Source organism: Homo sapiens, chromosome 16 (assembly GCF_000001405.40).
Source record: "Homo sapiens chromosome 16, GRCh38.p14 Primary Assembly".
NCBI lineage: Eukaryota > Metazoa > Chordata > Mammalia > Primates > Hominidae > Homo > Homo sapiens.
In genome coordinates, this window is record NC_000016.10 from 22,681,043 (window position 1) to 22,698,804 (window position 17,762).

Sequence of the window (17,762 nt, forward strand, 5' to 3'; positions counted from 1 at the left end):
TGAATAGAATTGCTACTTTCCTTTCTACCACCCAGGTGGGGTGGGAAACTTCTGCTCTTGGCAGTCATTTAAATCCTGTGCTCTGGCCAGGTGGCTCACGCCTGTAGTCCCAGCACTTTGGGAGGCTGAGGCGGGTGGATCTCTTGAGGTCAGGAGTTCGAGACCAACCTGGCCAACATGGTGAAACCCCATTTCTACTAAAAATACAAAATTGCAGGGGGTGGTGGTGCATGCCTGTAATCCCAGCTACTCGGGAGGCTGAGGCAGGAGAATTGCTTGAACCCGGGAGTCGGAGGCTGCAGCAAGCTGAGACCGTGCCACTGCACTCCAGCCTGGGCGACAGAGGAAGACTCTGTTTCAAAAAAAAAAAAAAAAAATCCTGTGCTCTGACGATCCAGTGACTTACTTCTTCATAGACAGCAAGAAACTCCTGGCCATCCGACTCTTGGTGGAGAGGAAGGGGCATTGCTTTTTAGTTTTACTCTCCATGATTTACAAAGGCAGCAGCATTTCTGAGTGAAAACGAATGCTCGCCTGCTGCTGGCTGGTTCTGTATGTATTGATTAGCGTCCCAGGGGTGGGACTGGGGGTACTGTTCTAGAAACACTCACTTTGATTCCTCAGATAAAACCCCCCTGGGTCCTGCTAGGAAACTAATTGGGAGTTGATTCTGATGAATAAATGTGCTGCCGCCGCCTGAGGAATTGACCACGCCGGCAGATGGCTGGAGAATGAGAAACACTCTGTTGTGGCCTTCTAAGGGGCCCATCAATAATAGATTGGCTCCAGCCTGGGGAGAGGGAAGCATTTCTGCTGCAGGTATGAATTATGGATGCCGTTTAGGGTAATGCGGATCTATCTCAAAGGTTCCGCTCAGTTTATGTGCTAGTAAAAGCCGGCAATTTGCTTGTGTTCCAGCTATAATTTGCGCTACATTAAGGGACCCTCCTTTCCATAATGGATGTGTGGTTGAACGCAGGCTCAGCCAGGCCTCGAGGGCAAGGCCTAGGCGGCCAGATCAGGAACACAGCTAGGTGTCATCCTCCGCAGCCCAGTCACAAGGCCCCAGACGTTTTGCTGAGGGTGCAAGTGGATGCCTTAAACTCTTTCCCAAGGTCCTGGAAAGAAACTGCACTACAGCCTTGCTGTGACTCACTGTCAAATGCAGTTAATGCACATACTGAGAGGAGCACAAAGGAAACCTATGGGCTACAGTCTGGACAAAGACACAGCAGTCTTGCAAGAGAAGCCATAGATAGGGTGGTTAAGAGCACAGATTCTGGAGCCAGATTGCCCAGGTCTGAATTCTGGCTTTGCCATTTTCTAGCCATGTACCCTTTGGCAAATTATGTAGCCTTTCTGTGCCTCAGTTTCCTCCTCTATAAAAAGGCAATAATAGCACTAACCAGTTATATGCTGAAGCCAGAGCAGACACGTGAAAGCCAACTGTTTAATTATCAGAAATTTTGCAAGCTGGTTGTTAAATACAGCCTTTATTAAAAATTAAATTTTATAAGCTTGCAATTAAAACCAAAGGTAATAAATGCTCCAAACTCATTAATTCCTAATTATTTTACTCCATTTTACTACTATCTATGCTCTTGGGGCTACTTATGTCTACTGTGTCTGCATGGTGGCAATGATACGTAATGTACATCCCTTTCCGATGATACATGATGTGCATCTTCCCAGTGATATATGATAGGCATTTCTTCCCAACGCCAAGATCGTGACATTACACTGACAGCTTGGAATTGGCCACAGTGGGAGTAGTTACACCAGGGACATTGGCAAGTGCTACAAATCAAAGCTTTCCCATTGAGAGCTGGTTGTTAAACTTTTAAGAGCACATCAGTGGTACTGACCTAATAAAGTTGTTTGGAGGATTGAATAGTTAACATGTTTATAAATTGCTTAGAACAGAGCCTGGCACAAAGTAAGCGCCATATAAAAATTTGCTGTTATTATTTTCAGAGATTTTTACAATTTTTTTCTAGCATAGATCAAGTGGTCACTGTGTGAATGAAGTCCTCCAAGGAACTGCAATCTTTTTCTTTCTTCCTAACCCCTGTGGTCCAACAGCCTGAGAAAAGTCTTATATACTTTCTCTTAAAGGCAAGGACACACTGAAATCTGGGGGGAAAATTGGTTTGGGTTCTCCTGAGCTTTTCGAAGTACTTTCCTTTAGTGTGAGCTGGTGTGATAGTGGACTGACTTTAGTGAGGAATGGGATTCTGGCTTTATCACTGATCTGAGCAGATTATTTTACCTCTTCAAATTAGGACCACAGGTGCACGCCACCACACCTGGCTAATTAATTTTTTTTTTTTTTTTTAAGAGATGGGGTTTTCACATTGTTGTCCAGGTTGGTCTCGAACTCCCGGTCTCAAGCAATCCTCCTGCTTTGGCCTCCTCAGTTGTAAAAAGGGGGTAATAACGGCTGCCTCATGGGTTTGGGTGGTAAAGGTGATATGGTTGCCTGAGGTCCAATTCTACCTCTAGCACTTGCTGCCCCCAAGACCTTAGGAAAGCTCCCTGATTTCTATAAACCTTAGTTTCCTCATCTATAAAATTGGAGCAATAATACTTCTGTTTCCTGGTGGCTGGGAGATGAAATGGGGTAATACAATTAAGAAGGTAGCATTTTACCTGGATATAGGAGATGCTTAATAAATATTAACAGTGACCTTAGCTGCTACTTGGCAATGATACCTCTTACCATCCCTGATAACCTGGGTGGTTTTGGCTGATCTGGCTGGTTGGCTGCGGAAGGCTCCCTTTCTTTCCTCTCTCTTGCAGAACTCTTCCTCCCAAAACTGTGCCTCACTGAGCTGAAGGGCTTGTGACCTCTCATACTGAGGCTGTGTCCTCTGGGATAGAGTGTGATCAGAAGGGCTTGTGACCTTCTCATACTGAGGCTCTTCCTCTTGGGTAGAGTGTGATCAAGCAGTGCATCCTTGCTCACGCCTGCAAGCAAATGGCTCAGAGCTGTTGTGAGGATTAAATGGGATAATGTAGGTGAGGATTGAATGGGATAATGTAGGTGCAGCAGGACCACTCATTAGGAATTTAACATGGCAGAATGGCCTGCTGAGGAACGAATTGTATCTTATTTTCTCAGCTGGATGTTCATCAGAGAAGGATGAGATGTTCTTTCTCTTCTCTTGCCCAGGGGGATGAATGGGTCTTTGTGTCCTTAAGGTTTGAGTTTGTACTGTCTCCTCTGTGGGAAGGGTTAACAGAATTTTTCTTAGGCTGTTGGATCTCAGGAGTCTAGGAAGGAAGAAAGGATTTTAGCTCCTTAGTGAGGTTTGCTCAAAAGCAGTGTCTGGGTGGTTTTCTCTGAAAAGCCAGATGCTATGGGCAGGGGCTTGTGAATCATATGAGGATATCCTGAGGCCAGGCTCTGAACGGTGGGTGACCCCTGGGTTTGCTGGCCACTACCTTCTCCCAAGTGGGAAACAGAACTTATGGCACCTTTGAATACTCAGTGGGAGGCTAGGCACTGAATGTGATTTGGGGCTTTCCAGGATCACAGAAAGAGGAATGTGGGCTTCGAGATAATGGGGAGAATCTACTTATTTGTTTATTTATTTGAGATGGGGTCTTGCTCTATTGTCCAGACTAGAGTGCAGTGGCTCAATCACATAGCTCACTGCAGTCTCTAACTCCTGGCCTCAAGCAATCCTGCCTCAGCACCCTGAGTAGCTGGGACTACAGGATCACACCACCACACCTGGCTAAATTTTTTTTTTTTTTTGGAGACAAGAGTCTCACTTTGTTATCCAGGCTGGTTTCAAACTTCTGGCCTTAAATAGTCCTCCCACTTTGGCCTCTCAAAGTGCTGGGATTACAGGTATAAGCCACCACACCTGGCTTGGGAGCGGCCTAATAAATGACTGGTAACTCAACTTCTTGATAACCTTGTTCTCTTGGGGTATGAGGTTGTGTTTGAACTGGATTATGTTTGGTGCAGACAGAGAAACATGCTTTTACTTTCACTTTTCAACTTGAGAGCAATTCTTATTTGTGACTCATGTAATATGCTGGCTTCATAATAGAGGCTCAATAAATGGTCGTTCTCTTCACTCTTCTGTTTATTCTTTATTACATTTAATCACAAATCTGAACCCTATAGCAGTTTAAGGGTTGAAACCTAGGGCTTGAGAGTTCAAATCCTTGATCCACCACTTACTTGGCTGTGTGAACCTTGGGTAAATTCCTTAATCTTCATGAACCTCAGTTATACCATCTGTAGAATGGGGATTAAAAAATAGTGCTGTCTGTGAAAATGAAATGACTTTTAACCCAGTGCCTCTGGTGTAATAAGTACTAAGTAAATGGTGCCTTTATTTTTGTATGCTCTATGAGTCAAGTGGGACAAAATAAATTCCATTAAACAAAGGAAGAAATGAAGGCACAGAGAGCCGGATGTCTCCCCTGAGGTCAGTAAAGGACTCATGTACCCAACACGTGGCTCTTTTGTGATCCAAGCCAGAAGGGAACATGGTGTTCCCAGTACCGCTCAGAGCCAGGATTCCACCAGCCTGAAAGTTCCATGTTCCCAAAAGTTTTTCAAAGCTATAAATATAGATGGAGCCTTCTGAGAAATGTGCTGGGTCAGGGCTTTTGCCTAAGCAGACAACTTTGGCTGGCTTTGGCCCTTTTTCCTGATTGCCCTGTTCCATGAATCTGTTGTTTTAGTGCACTCTGTGGTTTCTAGTTGAATCTTCCAGAACCACTTAAGACTTAGGGAGGAGAGGAGGGTAGGATGCCAACCTCTGGAAAAACATGGGCACTGGAAAGACCCAGTTTAACTTAGCCAGAGTCACCACTGAATCTGTCGGGGCAATTGTTTTTAAATTTTAAGTGGCATATTTCCTTGTTTAGTTATTTTTAGAGCTGGTTTTCTGATTATAAATGCATTACGTGGCAATTATAAAAAAATAAGGAAGTCAAAAATCCCATCTTTTTTTTTTTTTTTGGAAGGCAAGCAGGTTAGTAAAAACCCAATTTACCTAAATCCCATTGGAGTTTGAAAACTATACATGCCTTATAGAATTGATAGCTTTTCCAATGAATTAATCAGTAAATCAATTAACCAGAAAATCTTTATTGAGTGCCTTTTGTGTGCTAAGGCAGATTCCAGGATGAGGTAAGAAAATGAAAAGCTCTGAACTAATAAATGTCATCCAGTCCCAGAGGGAGATCAATCCAATGGCGATGGAATTAGTGATCAAGCTATTGGTCCTTAGAAGTGGCAGGAGTTGAGGCAGACAACAAATGTGCTATGAACTGTACGAAAAATGAGCCCCAAGGTGAAGGAAAGGCTTGTTGAAAAAAACCCAGTGGGGAAACATCCTGTTTCTTAGGCCACAAGTGAAGGGAAGGCAACCATATCCATCCACCCACTCAGCCACCCACCTGGTTTGCAGAAATTGAGCCAGTGATGCATCTAGTTAAAAATTGCATGCAGTTAAAAATTTTTATTACTCTGGCAGGGCGCAGTGGCTCACGCCTGTAATCCCAGCACTTTGGGAGGCAGAGGCGGGTGGGTCACGAGGTCAAGAGATCGAGACCATCCTGGCCAACATGGTGAAACCCCATCTCTAACAAAAATACAAAAATTAGCTGGGTGTGGTGGCGCACACCTGTAGTCCCAGCTACTCGGGAGGCTGAGGCAGGAGAATCACTTGAACCCGGGAGGCAGAGGTTGCAGTGAGCCGAGATCGTGCCACTGCACTCCAGCCTGGGTGACAGAGCGAGACACTGTCTCAACAAAAAATGTTTTTTACCCTTAAAAAACAGCCTTTTGAGGTATAATTGGCATATAAGGAACTGCAATATTTAAAGTGTACAATTTGATAAGTTTTGACGTAAGTCTACACCAGTGAAACCATTGACACCATCAAGATAATGAACTTATGCATCACCTTAAAAGTTTCCTTGTGGCCCTTTCTAATTCTTTCCACCTACCTTCCCGGACAACCCCTGATCTGCTTCTGTTGGTATATATTAGTCCGGATTTCCTACAATTTTATAAAAATGGAATAATACAGTATTCACTAGTTTTTGTTGAGTTTACTTCACTCAGCATAATTATTTTCAGATCTATCCACATGGTAGCATATATCAATATTTCATTATTTCTATTGCTGAGTAGTATTCCATTGTATGGATATACCACAGTTAAATTCACCTGTTGTTGAGCATTTGGGTCATTTACAGTTCTTGGATACTAAAAATAAACTTGCTTTTTGTACAAACATGTTACACAATGAGAGGTCAAAGAACAAGACTGACAAATCCAGTTTCTCAGGAAGAAACATTTAACAGGGACTTATGAACTGGAGCAATGTCTTGGGAAGCCGCAAGATGTTGGCTCACTGCATTCACCCTAAAAAACATATTCTTCCTATAGTAAGCTTTTTTGATAAAACATGTGCAGCTAGTCATGTCTCAGACTTTCTTGCAAAACTCTTGACCACTGGATAGGTTAGATAAATGTCTTTATGAAGGATTATCTAAGCTATAAGAACATCTTGGTAGGCAGGAGTCGCACATTGGTCATCGTGGTGGTTTCCCTTCAAGATGGTGTCACACTCCTGCCATGCAACAGACTGTTTTCCTGCAAGACATATGCTTTCATTTGTTCATGGGTAAACTCCTAGGAGTAGAATGGCTGGTTCATATTGTAAGTACATGTGTAACTTTTTAAGAAACTGAGAGACCATTTTCTAAAGTGATTGTACCATTTTACATTGCCACCAGCAGTATATAAGAGTTCTATTTTCTTTTTCTTTTTTTTTGAGATGGGATCTCACTCCTGGGGTCTCACCCAGGAGGCTGGAGTGCAGTGGCACAATCTTGGCTCACTGCAGCCTTGACCTTCTTGGGGTCAAGTGATCCTCACACTTCAGCCTCCCAATAGCTGGGGCCACAGGTGCATGCCACCATGCCCGGCCAATTTTTTGTATTAAATATTTTGGGTAGAGACGGGGTTTCACTATGTTGCTCAGGCTGGTCTTGAACTCCTAAGCTCAAGCAATTCTCCCACCTTGGCCTCCCAAAGTGCTGGGATTACAGGCATGAGCCACCGAACCCGGCCAAAAGTTCTATTGTAACCATTCTAATTGGCATAGGAGTGATATGTGATTTTAATTTACATTTCTCTAAAGATTAATGATTGAGTCTCTTTTCATGTACATATGTCCTGTCTGTATGTCTCCTTTGGTGACGTGTCTGTTCAAATATTTTGGCCATTTTAAAAATTGGCTTGTTTTCTTAAGTTTTGGGAGTTCTTTATGTATTTGAGATATAAATTTTTTATAAACTATATGATTGATCAGACATATGATTCTCTAACTCTGTAGCTTGTCTTGTATTCTCTTCACAGTGTCTTTTAAAGAGCAAACATTTTTTAAGTTGATGAAGTCCAGTTTATCGGTTTGTTCCTTTTTGGGTCATACTTTTGATGATGAATCTAAAAAATCTTTGCCTAGATCAAGATTAAATTTTTCAATGCCCTAAATGTTTTATAATTTTAGGATTTATATTTAGATCTACAATCCATTTTGAATTAAGTTTTATATATGATGTGAGGTATGGATAGGAGTTCGTTTTTCTTTTTGCATATTGGGATCTAATTTTCTCAGTACATTTTTGAAGGAACTTTAATTTCTCCACTGAATTCCCTTTGCATTTTTGTTAAAAATCAGCTGTCCATATATATGGGGCTATTTATGGATTTTTGTATTCTATTTCATTGATCTATTTATCATCTTTTATGCCAGTATTACACTGTCTTGATTATTACAGCTTTGTAATAAGTCTTGGATGGTGTTAGCATTACAACTTTGTTCCTTTTTTTTTTCCAGAGGTATCTTGGCTATTTTAGGTCCTTTGCAGTACCATATACATTTTAGGATGCATCAATTTCTACAAAAAATGCTTCCTGGAGATTTCTGTTTGGATTTCATTGAATCTATACATCAAGTTGGGAAAATTTACACCATCTTAACAATATTGAGTTTTCTTGAACCTATAAGTATAGGTTCAAGACCAACATTTTATTTATTTATTTATTTATTTATTTAATTTATTTATTTATTGCGATGGTATCTCTGTTGCCCAGGCTGGAGTACAGTGGTGCACTCCATCTGGGCTCACTTCAACCTCTGCCTCCCAAGTTAAAGCAATTCTCCTGCCTCAGCCTCCTGAGTAGCTGGGATTACAGGCATGCACCACCACACTCAGCTAATTTTAGTATTTTTAGTACAGATGGGGTTTTACTATGTTGGCCAGGCTGGTCTTGAACTCCTGACTTCAAGTAATCCACCTGCCTCGGTCTCCCAAAGTGCTGGGTTTACAGGCATGAGCCACCATGCCTGGCCTATTTTGGTATTTAACTTCTCTTGGCAGTAGTTAGTAATTTTCATAGTATAAGTTTTTCACATCTTTTGCCAGATTTATCTCTAAGTATTTAATATTTTTGATGTTATTGTGAATGGTATTGTTTATTAATTTCAATTTCTGGTTGTTTATTGGCATCATATAGATATATAATAGGTTTTTGTATCTTGAGATTGTATCCTGCAACTTCACTAAACTCAATTATTGGTTCTAGTAGCTTATTTGTTGCTTCTATCAGATATTCTGCATAGATGACCACATCATCTGTGAAGAAAGAGAGTTTTACTTCTTTCCTATCTGAATGCCACTTTTTTCTTTGCACTACTGCACTGGTTAGAACCTTTAGTACAATGTTGAATAGAAGCAGTGATAGTGAACATACTTGCCTTGTTCTTATCCTCAGAGGAAAGCACTTATTCTTTCATTATGATGTTTGCTATAGGTTATTTGAAGATGCTACATAGTTGAAAATGTTCTCTTCAGGTTCTACATTGCTGAAAATTTTTATTAGAAACGAATGTTGTTAAATATTTGCAAACGAGTTTTTTGCATCTATTGAGATAATTTTTTTTTCTTTTTTAGTTTGTGAATTTGGTAAACTACTTGATTTGTTTTTGAATGTTAAACCAACCTTGCATTTCTGGGATGAAGCACTACTCATCATAATGTATTATCCTTTTTACGTATTGTGGGATTCAATGTGCTAATATTTTGTTTTGCAGTTTTACATGTATAGTCATGAAGAATATCCATCTGCAGCCTTCTTTTCCTGTAATATCTTTGTCTGATTTTAATGGTAGGGTGATAGTGGTCTTATAGAGTCAGCTGGGGAGTATTCTTCCCTGTCCTATTTTCTGGATGACTTTATACAGAATTGGAACTTGCCAAGTATGTGAGCTTGGGGAACATGCATCTGCAAAATTGAGGAATAACAATGCAGTAGTGCCTACATCACAAAATTGTTGTGAGAATTAAATGAGATGATGTATACATTCAATAACTTTTACGTGTTATAATTATTACCATAAGCCAGTGTCTCCGAGACAAGACTAAACTGGAGAATGGGATAGAAAAGGGCCTCAAGGAAGGGTATGGACTGTTTTTCTCTCCAGATATGGTCTCACTTGGGCCTTCATGTGCCTTACTCCTTAAGGTCATTGGAAAGACAAAAACTGGCCCCCCTACTTAATCTCTGCCCACATTAATTAACTTCTGCTAGCCTTGTTTTCTTCATTCACAAGGAAGGGATATTATTAATAGCAAATATTTGTTGGGCACTTTCTAGATGCCAGACACTGTCCTGAGCACTATCCATGTGTCATCACTTAATCTTCACGGCAGCTTATGAGGTAGGTACTATTATGATCCCCAATTTTGGTGATGGGAAACTGAGGCAGAGAGCTGTTAGTAACATTTAAAGTCACACAGCTAATAAATGGCAGAACTGGGATATGAACCCAGGCAGTTCGGCTCTAGAGTGCACTTTCTTACCCTTTCTCTCTTCTTACCTTATAGATGTTGTTGTCATTGGTGGTGGTGGTGGTGGTGTGTGTGCATGTTGATTGAGATAACCTGGAACACATGAAAGATGTCAATAAATGTCACTTTACTTTCCACAAGTTCTACAAAACTCTGGAAGGAATAGCACACTGATTATTTTGTCTTCTCTCAACTTCCATCCCCATGCCAGCCCCAATCCAGGGCTGACTCCAATTAGAAGAGGCTCTGTTTCAGCAGACAGGATAAGCTGTAGTCCCAGAAGAACCCTGACTCTCAGGGTAGAGTGCAATGCCAAGGCCCCCTGGCCCTTTGCTACTCAAAGTGTGGTCCTGGGACCAGCAGCATTAGTATCATCTGGGAGCTTGTTAGAAATGCATGATCTCAGGCTTCACTATGACCTACTGCACCAGAATTTGTATTTTAACAAGACCCCAGGTGATTTGTGTGCACATTAAAGTCTAGGAATCACTGCCCAAAATCAATACTTTTTCTGTTTGATCCTTCCAAGCGGTCACTCATTTGCTGAGGTGATGGGAGTTCACCAATGCATCCCTTCACAGATGCGATGTTTATATTGAGTACACATTTATCTTCTCTGTGCAGGAGATGCAAAGTCAAATCCCTTCAGTTGGCCAGATGGGAACTCTGGTAGAGTGTGCATGTTCTGTCTAAAAGGGACAGCTACCATTTCACTCCAGCCAACTGCTACATGGAAACGCTATCCCAGTGTTTAGATCTTCTGATATTTTCTTTTAAGATGGGCCTCACTCTGTTGCTCAGGTTAGAGTGCAGTGGCATGATCACAGCTCACTGCAGCCTCAACTTCTCAGGCTCAAGTGATTCTCCTGAGTCAGCCTTTGGAGTAGTTGGGACTATAGGCATGCACCACCATGCCTGGCTTATTAATTTTTTTTTTTTTTAGTAGAGACAAGAGCTTGCTATGTTGCCCAGGCTGTTCTTGAACTCCTGAGCTTGAATGAGGTGTGATCCCCACACCTGTTGGGATCTTCTGATATTTTAATCAAAGCTGGAAATGTGGATCTTCATCTGAAATCTCTTATTTGTTAAATGTTAATAACTAATTCAAACTAGTAAAATAACTTTGAGGGCCAAAGAAGCATGTGTGCTGGCCATATTCTCCAAGGGATGCCAGCTTGTGACCTCTGACCTAAAAATGACTTCTAAAGAGTGCAGCTTCTCAAATAAATCAAGTATGTATTGTACATGACAGTCTTTTGAAAGTTCAGAGGTTTTTGCAAAGCATGCAAGATTTTCCATTACTTGGTTGTCTCTACTGTCAGCTACACTCAACCACAAATATTTAATTGCTGTTTCATCTTCTGTACTTTGGCATGTATCTGTTCTCTTTGCTTTGACTATCCATTCCCCTTCATCCGTCTAGCTAGCTTTGATTCATCCTTCAAGATGCAAACCAAATTTCACCTCCTCTGTGAATATTTTCTGGTTTCCCTCCATTACAGTTGCCCACTAGTGCAATTCTCCACCCTGGGCCATGTTGTGCTGGAATCATTTGTTTATATCATTGTTTCCCCTATAAATGCTCAGACGTCAGGGACCAAGTCTTATTCCTAACATCTAGGAAGTGTTAGGCACAGAGTAGATGCACTCACTAACTATTGCAGCATAACCAATCACTCCACAACTTAGCAGCTTGAAACAGCAAACATTTATTGTCTCAGTTTCTGTGGGTTAGGAATTTGGGCATGGCTTTCCTGTGTATCTCTGGCTTGAGGTTGCTTACCAGGTTGCAGTCAGACCTCAAAGTCTCTTACCAGGTTGCAGTCAGAGTACATGCTGGAGCTGTGGTCTCATGTGAAGTCTCAGCTGGGGAGAATCTGCTTCTAGGCTCCCTCCCATGGTTTTTGGAAGGTTTCAGTTATTTGTAGGCTGTTGGAGCTAAGGGTCTAGGGTCTCGGTTTCTTGCTGACTGCTGGCCAGAGGACTTCCTCAGTTCTTTGTCACTGGGATCCTTGGACAGCTCACAACATGGCAGCTGGCTTCCCTTGGAGTGAGAGTGAGAGAGTGCTCCAGACGGAAGATGCCATCTCTTTGTAATCTAATTCCAGAAGTGACATCTCTCCTCTTCTGCATTCTGCTTGCTAGAAGTCGGCCACTAAATAAAGCCCACACACAAGCGGGGAGGGAATTACACAAGAGTGGGGCTACCAGGAGGCAGGGAGTATTGAGGTCATCCAAGAAGCTGCGTACCGAAATGCCCTGCTTATAGTTATGTGCTGTGGTTACTCAGCCTTGGGATTCAGATTGCCCAGGTTCAAATCTTAGTCCTGTCACTCTGTGAAAGTTTACTTACCTGTAATGGGCATCAAGGGCTTCTTGACCCATAGAATTGATATGGGGACTGTGTTTAACAGAATGCCTGCTTGCCTCTAAAAAGGTGACCTATGATTAATGTTGTTTTAAGAAATGATGATGATGATTTTTTTTTTTTGAGATAGGTTCTCTCTCTGTCACCCAGGCTGGGGTGCAGTGCCATGAACATGACTCACTGCAGCCTGGACCTTCTGGACTTAAGTGGCCTCCTGAGTAGCTGGGACCACACGTGAATGCCACCATGCTTGGGTAATTTTTAAAATTTTTGTAAAGAGAGGGTCTCACCATGTTGCCCAGGCTGATCTTGAACTCCTGGGCTCAAGGAATCCTCCTGCCTTGGGCTCCCTAAGAGTTGGGATTACAGGTGTGAGCCACCGTGTCTGGCCAAAGTAATGATTATTGAATGTATCATAGGTATCTAGGTAAGAGAGTGACCATACGAAAAAATGGAAGAAGCATGACTGGTTATATGCTCAGTTCTCTGAATCACCCCCTCCGACTCAAGTTCCTCATTTCTAGATTTTTTCCTTCCTATAAATTAGCTTGATCTTTCCCTGGTATGACTCCTACAACTCTGCCCCGGCCTCCAAGTCTAAGTGAGCTCTCCCTATTGTGCTCAAATCCTGTCCTTTTCCCACACCAGATCATTTTAACCCTTGCCATTCTTCAAGCCAACAATTCTCCCAACAATTTATTTCTTCCGCTCCCACCACTCCAGTGCTCAGTCAGTGAGTGATTCTGGGAAGAGTGGTCTGGCTGGGTTGGATGGCCAGGTCTATTTCAAGTTCATCTCAGCTGTCTGGTCATTTTTTATTTAAAAAAAAAAAAAGCTTTGGGAAGTAGTCTATTTAAACACACGTAAGCAGCTGTTCCTCCCTTTCCACCTGCTTTCATCCCTTTCTCAGCAGATGGGATCATCATCTATTTTATTGAAATAACAATAATACCCCCAAGTTTTGTTTTGTTTCATTTTGTTTTTATGAGACGGACTCTTACTCTGTCTCCCAGGCTGAAGTGCAGTGGCACGATCTTGGCTCACTGCAACCTCTGCCTCCTGGGTTCAAACGATTCTCCTGGCTCAGCCTCCTGAGTAGCTGGGATTACAGATTTGCGCCACCATGCCTGGCTAATTTTTGTATTTTTAGTAGAGATGGGGTTTCACCATGTTGCCCAGGCTGGTCTTGAACTCCCGACCTTAAGTGATCCACCAGCCTTGGCCTCCCAAAGTGCTGGGATTACAGGCATGAGCCACTGTGCCCCGCAAATACCCCCAAGTTTACTGACCTCTTAACTATGTTAGATGCCAATCTAAGCCCCTTTAATGGATTATCTCCATTGTCACAATAACTCCTACGAAGATAGTACTGGGACTATCCTATTTTACATATAAGGAAAGTTAGGCTCAGAGATATGGAATGATTGACAAATGTCCAACAGTAGAGCTGAGATGTGAATCCATGTTAACCTGATCCCCAAATTGAAGCTCTTACCCACTTTTACTGAAAAGCCGTTTGGATTCTTTAGTCCACCTACTTTCTATCTCTGCTTAATGGGCTGCAAGATGCCCATTTCACTGAACTTGTTTCTCCTAAGGACCTGCAGGCTGCTTTGCTGAATGCTCCTCCTCCGCCTTGATCCTGCTTTGGCATTCCAAACTGCTGGGTTTGTGATCCTTTTTGGATCTCTTCACTAGTTTATGGGGCTCTGCATGCTCTTGGCTCTCCAACAACCACTAGAACTTCTTACTGACCGGCTGTTTTCATTCCATCCCTTAAATGTCAGCATGTTCTGAGGTTCTGTCTCAGCCTTCCTTGCAGGCTACACATTCTCCCTGGGTGACCTCATGTCCTCTCGTAGCTCCAGAATCGTTGCTTCTTAAATAATCTCTCTGTTAATTTTTTAGTCCCTGCTTTTATTTGAAGCTTCTGATCTGCCTTTCTAACCAGTGGGTGTTCTGGGAGTGCTTCAAAATCAGCTTGACTCAACTCAATGTCATCTTTCCCGAAATACTCTCTTCACCCGTGTTCCTTAGCCTAGTAGTAAAAACAGTCTACCCAGTCTGGACTTTAGTTAACAAATTCTGTTTATTTCTCCAAAGCAGTACCAGCGATTATTCCTCTGGAAAGACCTCTGTCTCAGCTCAATTTTCCTCTACCATTTGACTGGACTATTGCAATAATTTCCTAAGGGTCTCTCTGTCTTCAGAATCCTCACTGCTATCCATCTCCAAAGACATAGACCTATTTATGTTATTTGGCATCTTGAATTTTTCCTGCTATATATTTCATAAATACCAGATTTCTTGGACTAGCATTCCATGACCTTCTCATATTGCCCACACTGACTTTGCTAAGTTTATTTAATTATTAAAAGTACTATGTGGGGCTGGGCGCAGTGGCTCACTCCTATAATACCAGCACTTTGGGAGGCTGACGCTGGAGGATTACTGGAGCCAGGAGTTTGAGACCAGCCTGGGCAATATGGAGAAACCTTGTCTCTACGAAGAAAAATGCAAAAATTAGCTGGATGCGGTGGCACGCCTGTAGTCCCAGCTACTTAGGAGGCTGAGGTGGGAGGATCGCTTGAGCCCAGGATATGGAGGATGCAGTGAGCTGTGACTGCACCACTGCACTACAGCCTGGGCAACAGAGCGAGATCCTGTATCAAAGTCCCAGCTACTTAGGAGGCTGAGGTGGGAGGATCGCTTGAGCCCAGGATATGGAGGATGCAGTGAGCTGTGACTGCACCACTGCACTACAGCCTGGGCAACAGAGCGAGATCCTGTATCAAAAAAATAAATAAATAAAATAAAAAGTACTATGTGATAATTACTGATAGAAAAGCTCTTCATTTTTATAGGTTTATCTTACAACCATACAGCATCTGAAATTTCTACTTTAAGTGGTAGATATAATGGATCACAGTGATAGATTCTCCTGCATCAGCCTCCCAAGTAGCTGGAATTACAGGTGCCCACCATGATGCCCAGCTATGATGTTAAGCCATTCTTGTGCTCCTAATATAAGTGTATTATTCTTTTGATGAACTGATGAGCTTAATTTTCTAATATTTATTTACAAATGTGTATCTGTATTCATAAATGAATTTGTCTGTGGCTTTCTGTTTTTGTGCTTTCTTCATCAGGCTTAACTAATAAGGTGATTCTAATTTCATAAAAGTAGTAATATCAAATATGTATGCATGTGGGCCTTAATAGGCACCAGACACTGTTCTAAGCAGTTGATAGTTATAAACTCACTTAATCTTCACAACAATCTCCATGAAGTAGAGTTTCCTCGTCATTTAACAGAGAAGGGAGTGGAGAAAGGAAGAGAATAAATAACTTGCCCAAGGTCACACAGCCAGTAAGTATTATAGCCATGACTTGAACAAGGCAGAATGGTTCTAAGAGCTTTGTGCAAAGTGCTTTGCTAACTTCTTCGAAGTCATAGTCAACTTGGGGAGTTTCATTTTTTTCTGTAGTCTAAGATACTTTAATAATATAGGAAGAATTATCTTTTTTTTAAGGCTTGGTAAACTTGGATGTAAATCTATGCAAGTGTGGTGATTTTTAAAATGGTAGATCTTGACCTTTCCAATCGTTCATGTTATTGATCTGTTTAGGTTTTCTTCTTCTTTGGTCAATTACTTAAGTTTTAATTTTGTTAGACTTTCTTCAATTTCCCTTTGATATTTAAATCTGTTGCCATGGCCTTGCACAGATTTGAAGATATTGCTCCATTGTTTTCCAGTTAATATTTGTTGTTAATTAAAAATGTGATGCCAATCAGATTATTGTCTCCCCTATACTTTCTATATTGATTTCTTTCTTTTTCTTTCTAATTCTTTTTTTTCTCTCTCTCTCTTTTTAGTAGAGTTTCTCTGTGTTGCCCAGGCTGGAGTGCAGTGGCGTGATCTTGGCTCACTGCAACCTCCACCTCCCAGGTTCAAGCAATTCTCCTACCTCAGCCTCCCTAGTAGCTGGGATTACAGGTGTGTGCCACCATGCTTGGGTAATTTTTGTATTTTGTATTTTTTTTTTTAATGGAGTCTAGCTCTGTTGCCCAGGCTGGAGAGCAGTGGTGTGGTCTCGGCTCACTGCAACCTCTGCCTCCCAGGTTCAAGTGATTTTCCTGCCTCAGCCTACTGACTAGCTGGGATTACAGGCACCCACCATGATGCCCAGGTAATTTTTGTATTTTTAGTAGAGATGGAGTTTCACCATGTTGGCCAGCTGGTCTCGAACTCCTGACCTCAAGTGATCCTCCTGCCTTGCCTCCCAAAGTGCTGAGATTGCAGGTGTGAGCCACTGTGCCTGGCCTAATTTTTGTATTTTGGTAGAGATGGGATTTTTCCATGTTGGCCAGGTTGGTCTTGAACTCCTGGCCTCAAGTGATCCACCCACCTCGGCCTCCCAAAGTGCTGGGATTATAGGCATGAGCCACTGCATCTGGCTTCTTATATTGGTTTCATGTTGATGCTGTAGCAAATTACTACAAATTTAGTGACTTGAAACAACACAAATGAATAGGTGTGTAGAAGTCTGAAGTGGGTCTCACCGGGCTGAAACCGACAGGTGGGTAGGGCTGCATTCCTTCTGGGGGCTTTAAGGAGAATACATTTATTTGTCTTGGTCAGTTGTAGAGGTGATGCATCTCCAGCCCAGAAATAGGGCTTTATAGACAGGGAGTCACACTCTCTGTCTCTCTCTCTTTTTTTTTTTTTTTTTTTTTTTTTTGAGACAGAGTCTTGCTCTGTCACCCAGCCTGGAGCGCAATGGTGCGATCTCAGCTCACTGCAACCTCCTCCACCTCCCAGGTTCAAGCGAATCCTCCTACCTCAGCCTCCTAAGTATCTGGGATTACAGGTGCCCACCCCTACTCCTGGCTAATTTTTGTATTTTTAGTAGGGACAGGTTTTCACCATGTTTGTCAGGCTGGTCTCGAACTCTTGACCTCAAGTGATCGGCCCGCTTTGGCCTCCCAAAGTGCTGGGATTACAGGCATGAGCCACTGTGCCCAGCCTATCTCTTAATCTCCATTACTTTCTAGGGCAAATGATACAAACTTGGTCTTCTCTTCAGGGCTCATGCAGTTATTTCCCTAATCAACTTATCCCATAAATCACATGACCTACTTCAGAGACCAAATAATTACAAATAAAAGATTCCCCCCAAACCATAGATTCTTGTTGGCAATGAGCATCAGTTGAGCTCAGATTCGGTAAAAAGTAAAAATGAAAAAAGATCCATAGCTATAGATTTCTGTTAGCCTTTTTTCTATGGTTTTTGGTAACCACTGTCCAAAATACCAATAATGTAAGTATAAACCCTTCCCAATGCAAAAAGACCAGTCTTTTTTGTTTCGAAAGCCAATTTCTACCTGGTGGGATTTTTTTTTTTTTAAACAAAATCTAAAGTCTTCTTCTCTTTTAAATATTTCTGACTTGGAAAACTGGTAGGTAGAATAGCTGCTGGCAGCCCAAATGCTCAAAATCAC

The 17,762-nt window shown here is 42.0% G+C and overlaps 1 annotated feature.

Annotated features, from left to right (window-relative positions):
* Window positions 1-785: an enhancer, noted in NCBI's record as "H3K27ac-H3K4me1 hESC enhancer chr16:22692364-22693148 (GRCh37/hg19 assembly coordinates)". NCBI's record gives its function as "activates a minimal SCP1, AML or CMV promoter by ChIP-STARR-seq in primed H9 embryonic stem cells {active_cell/tissue: H9 hESC(primed)}" and the evidence as "EXISTENCE:reporter gene assay evidence [ECO:0000049][PMID:30033119]".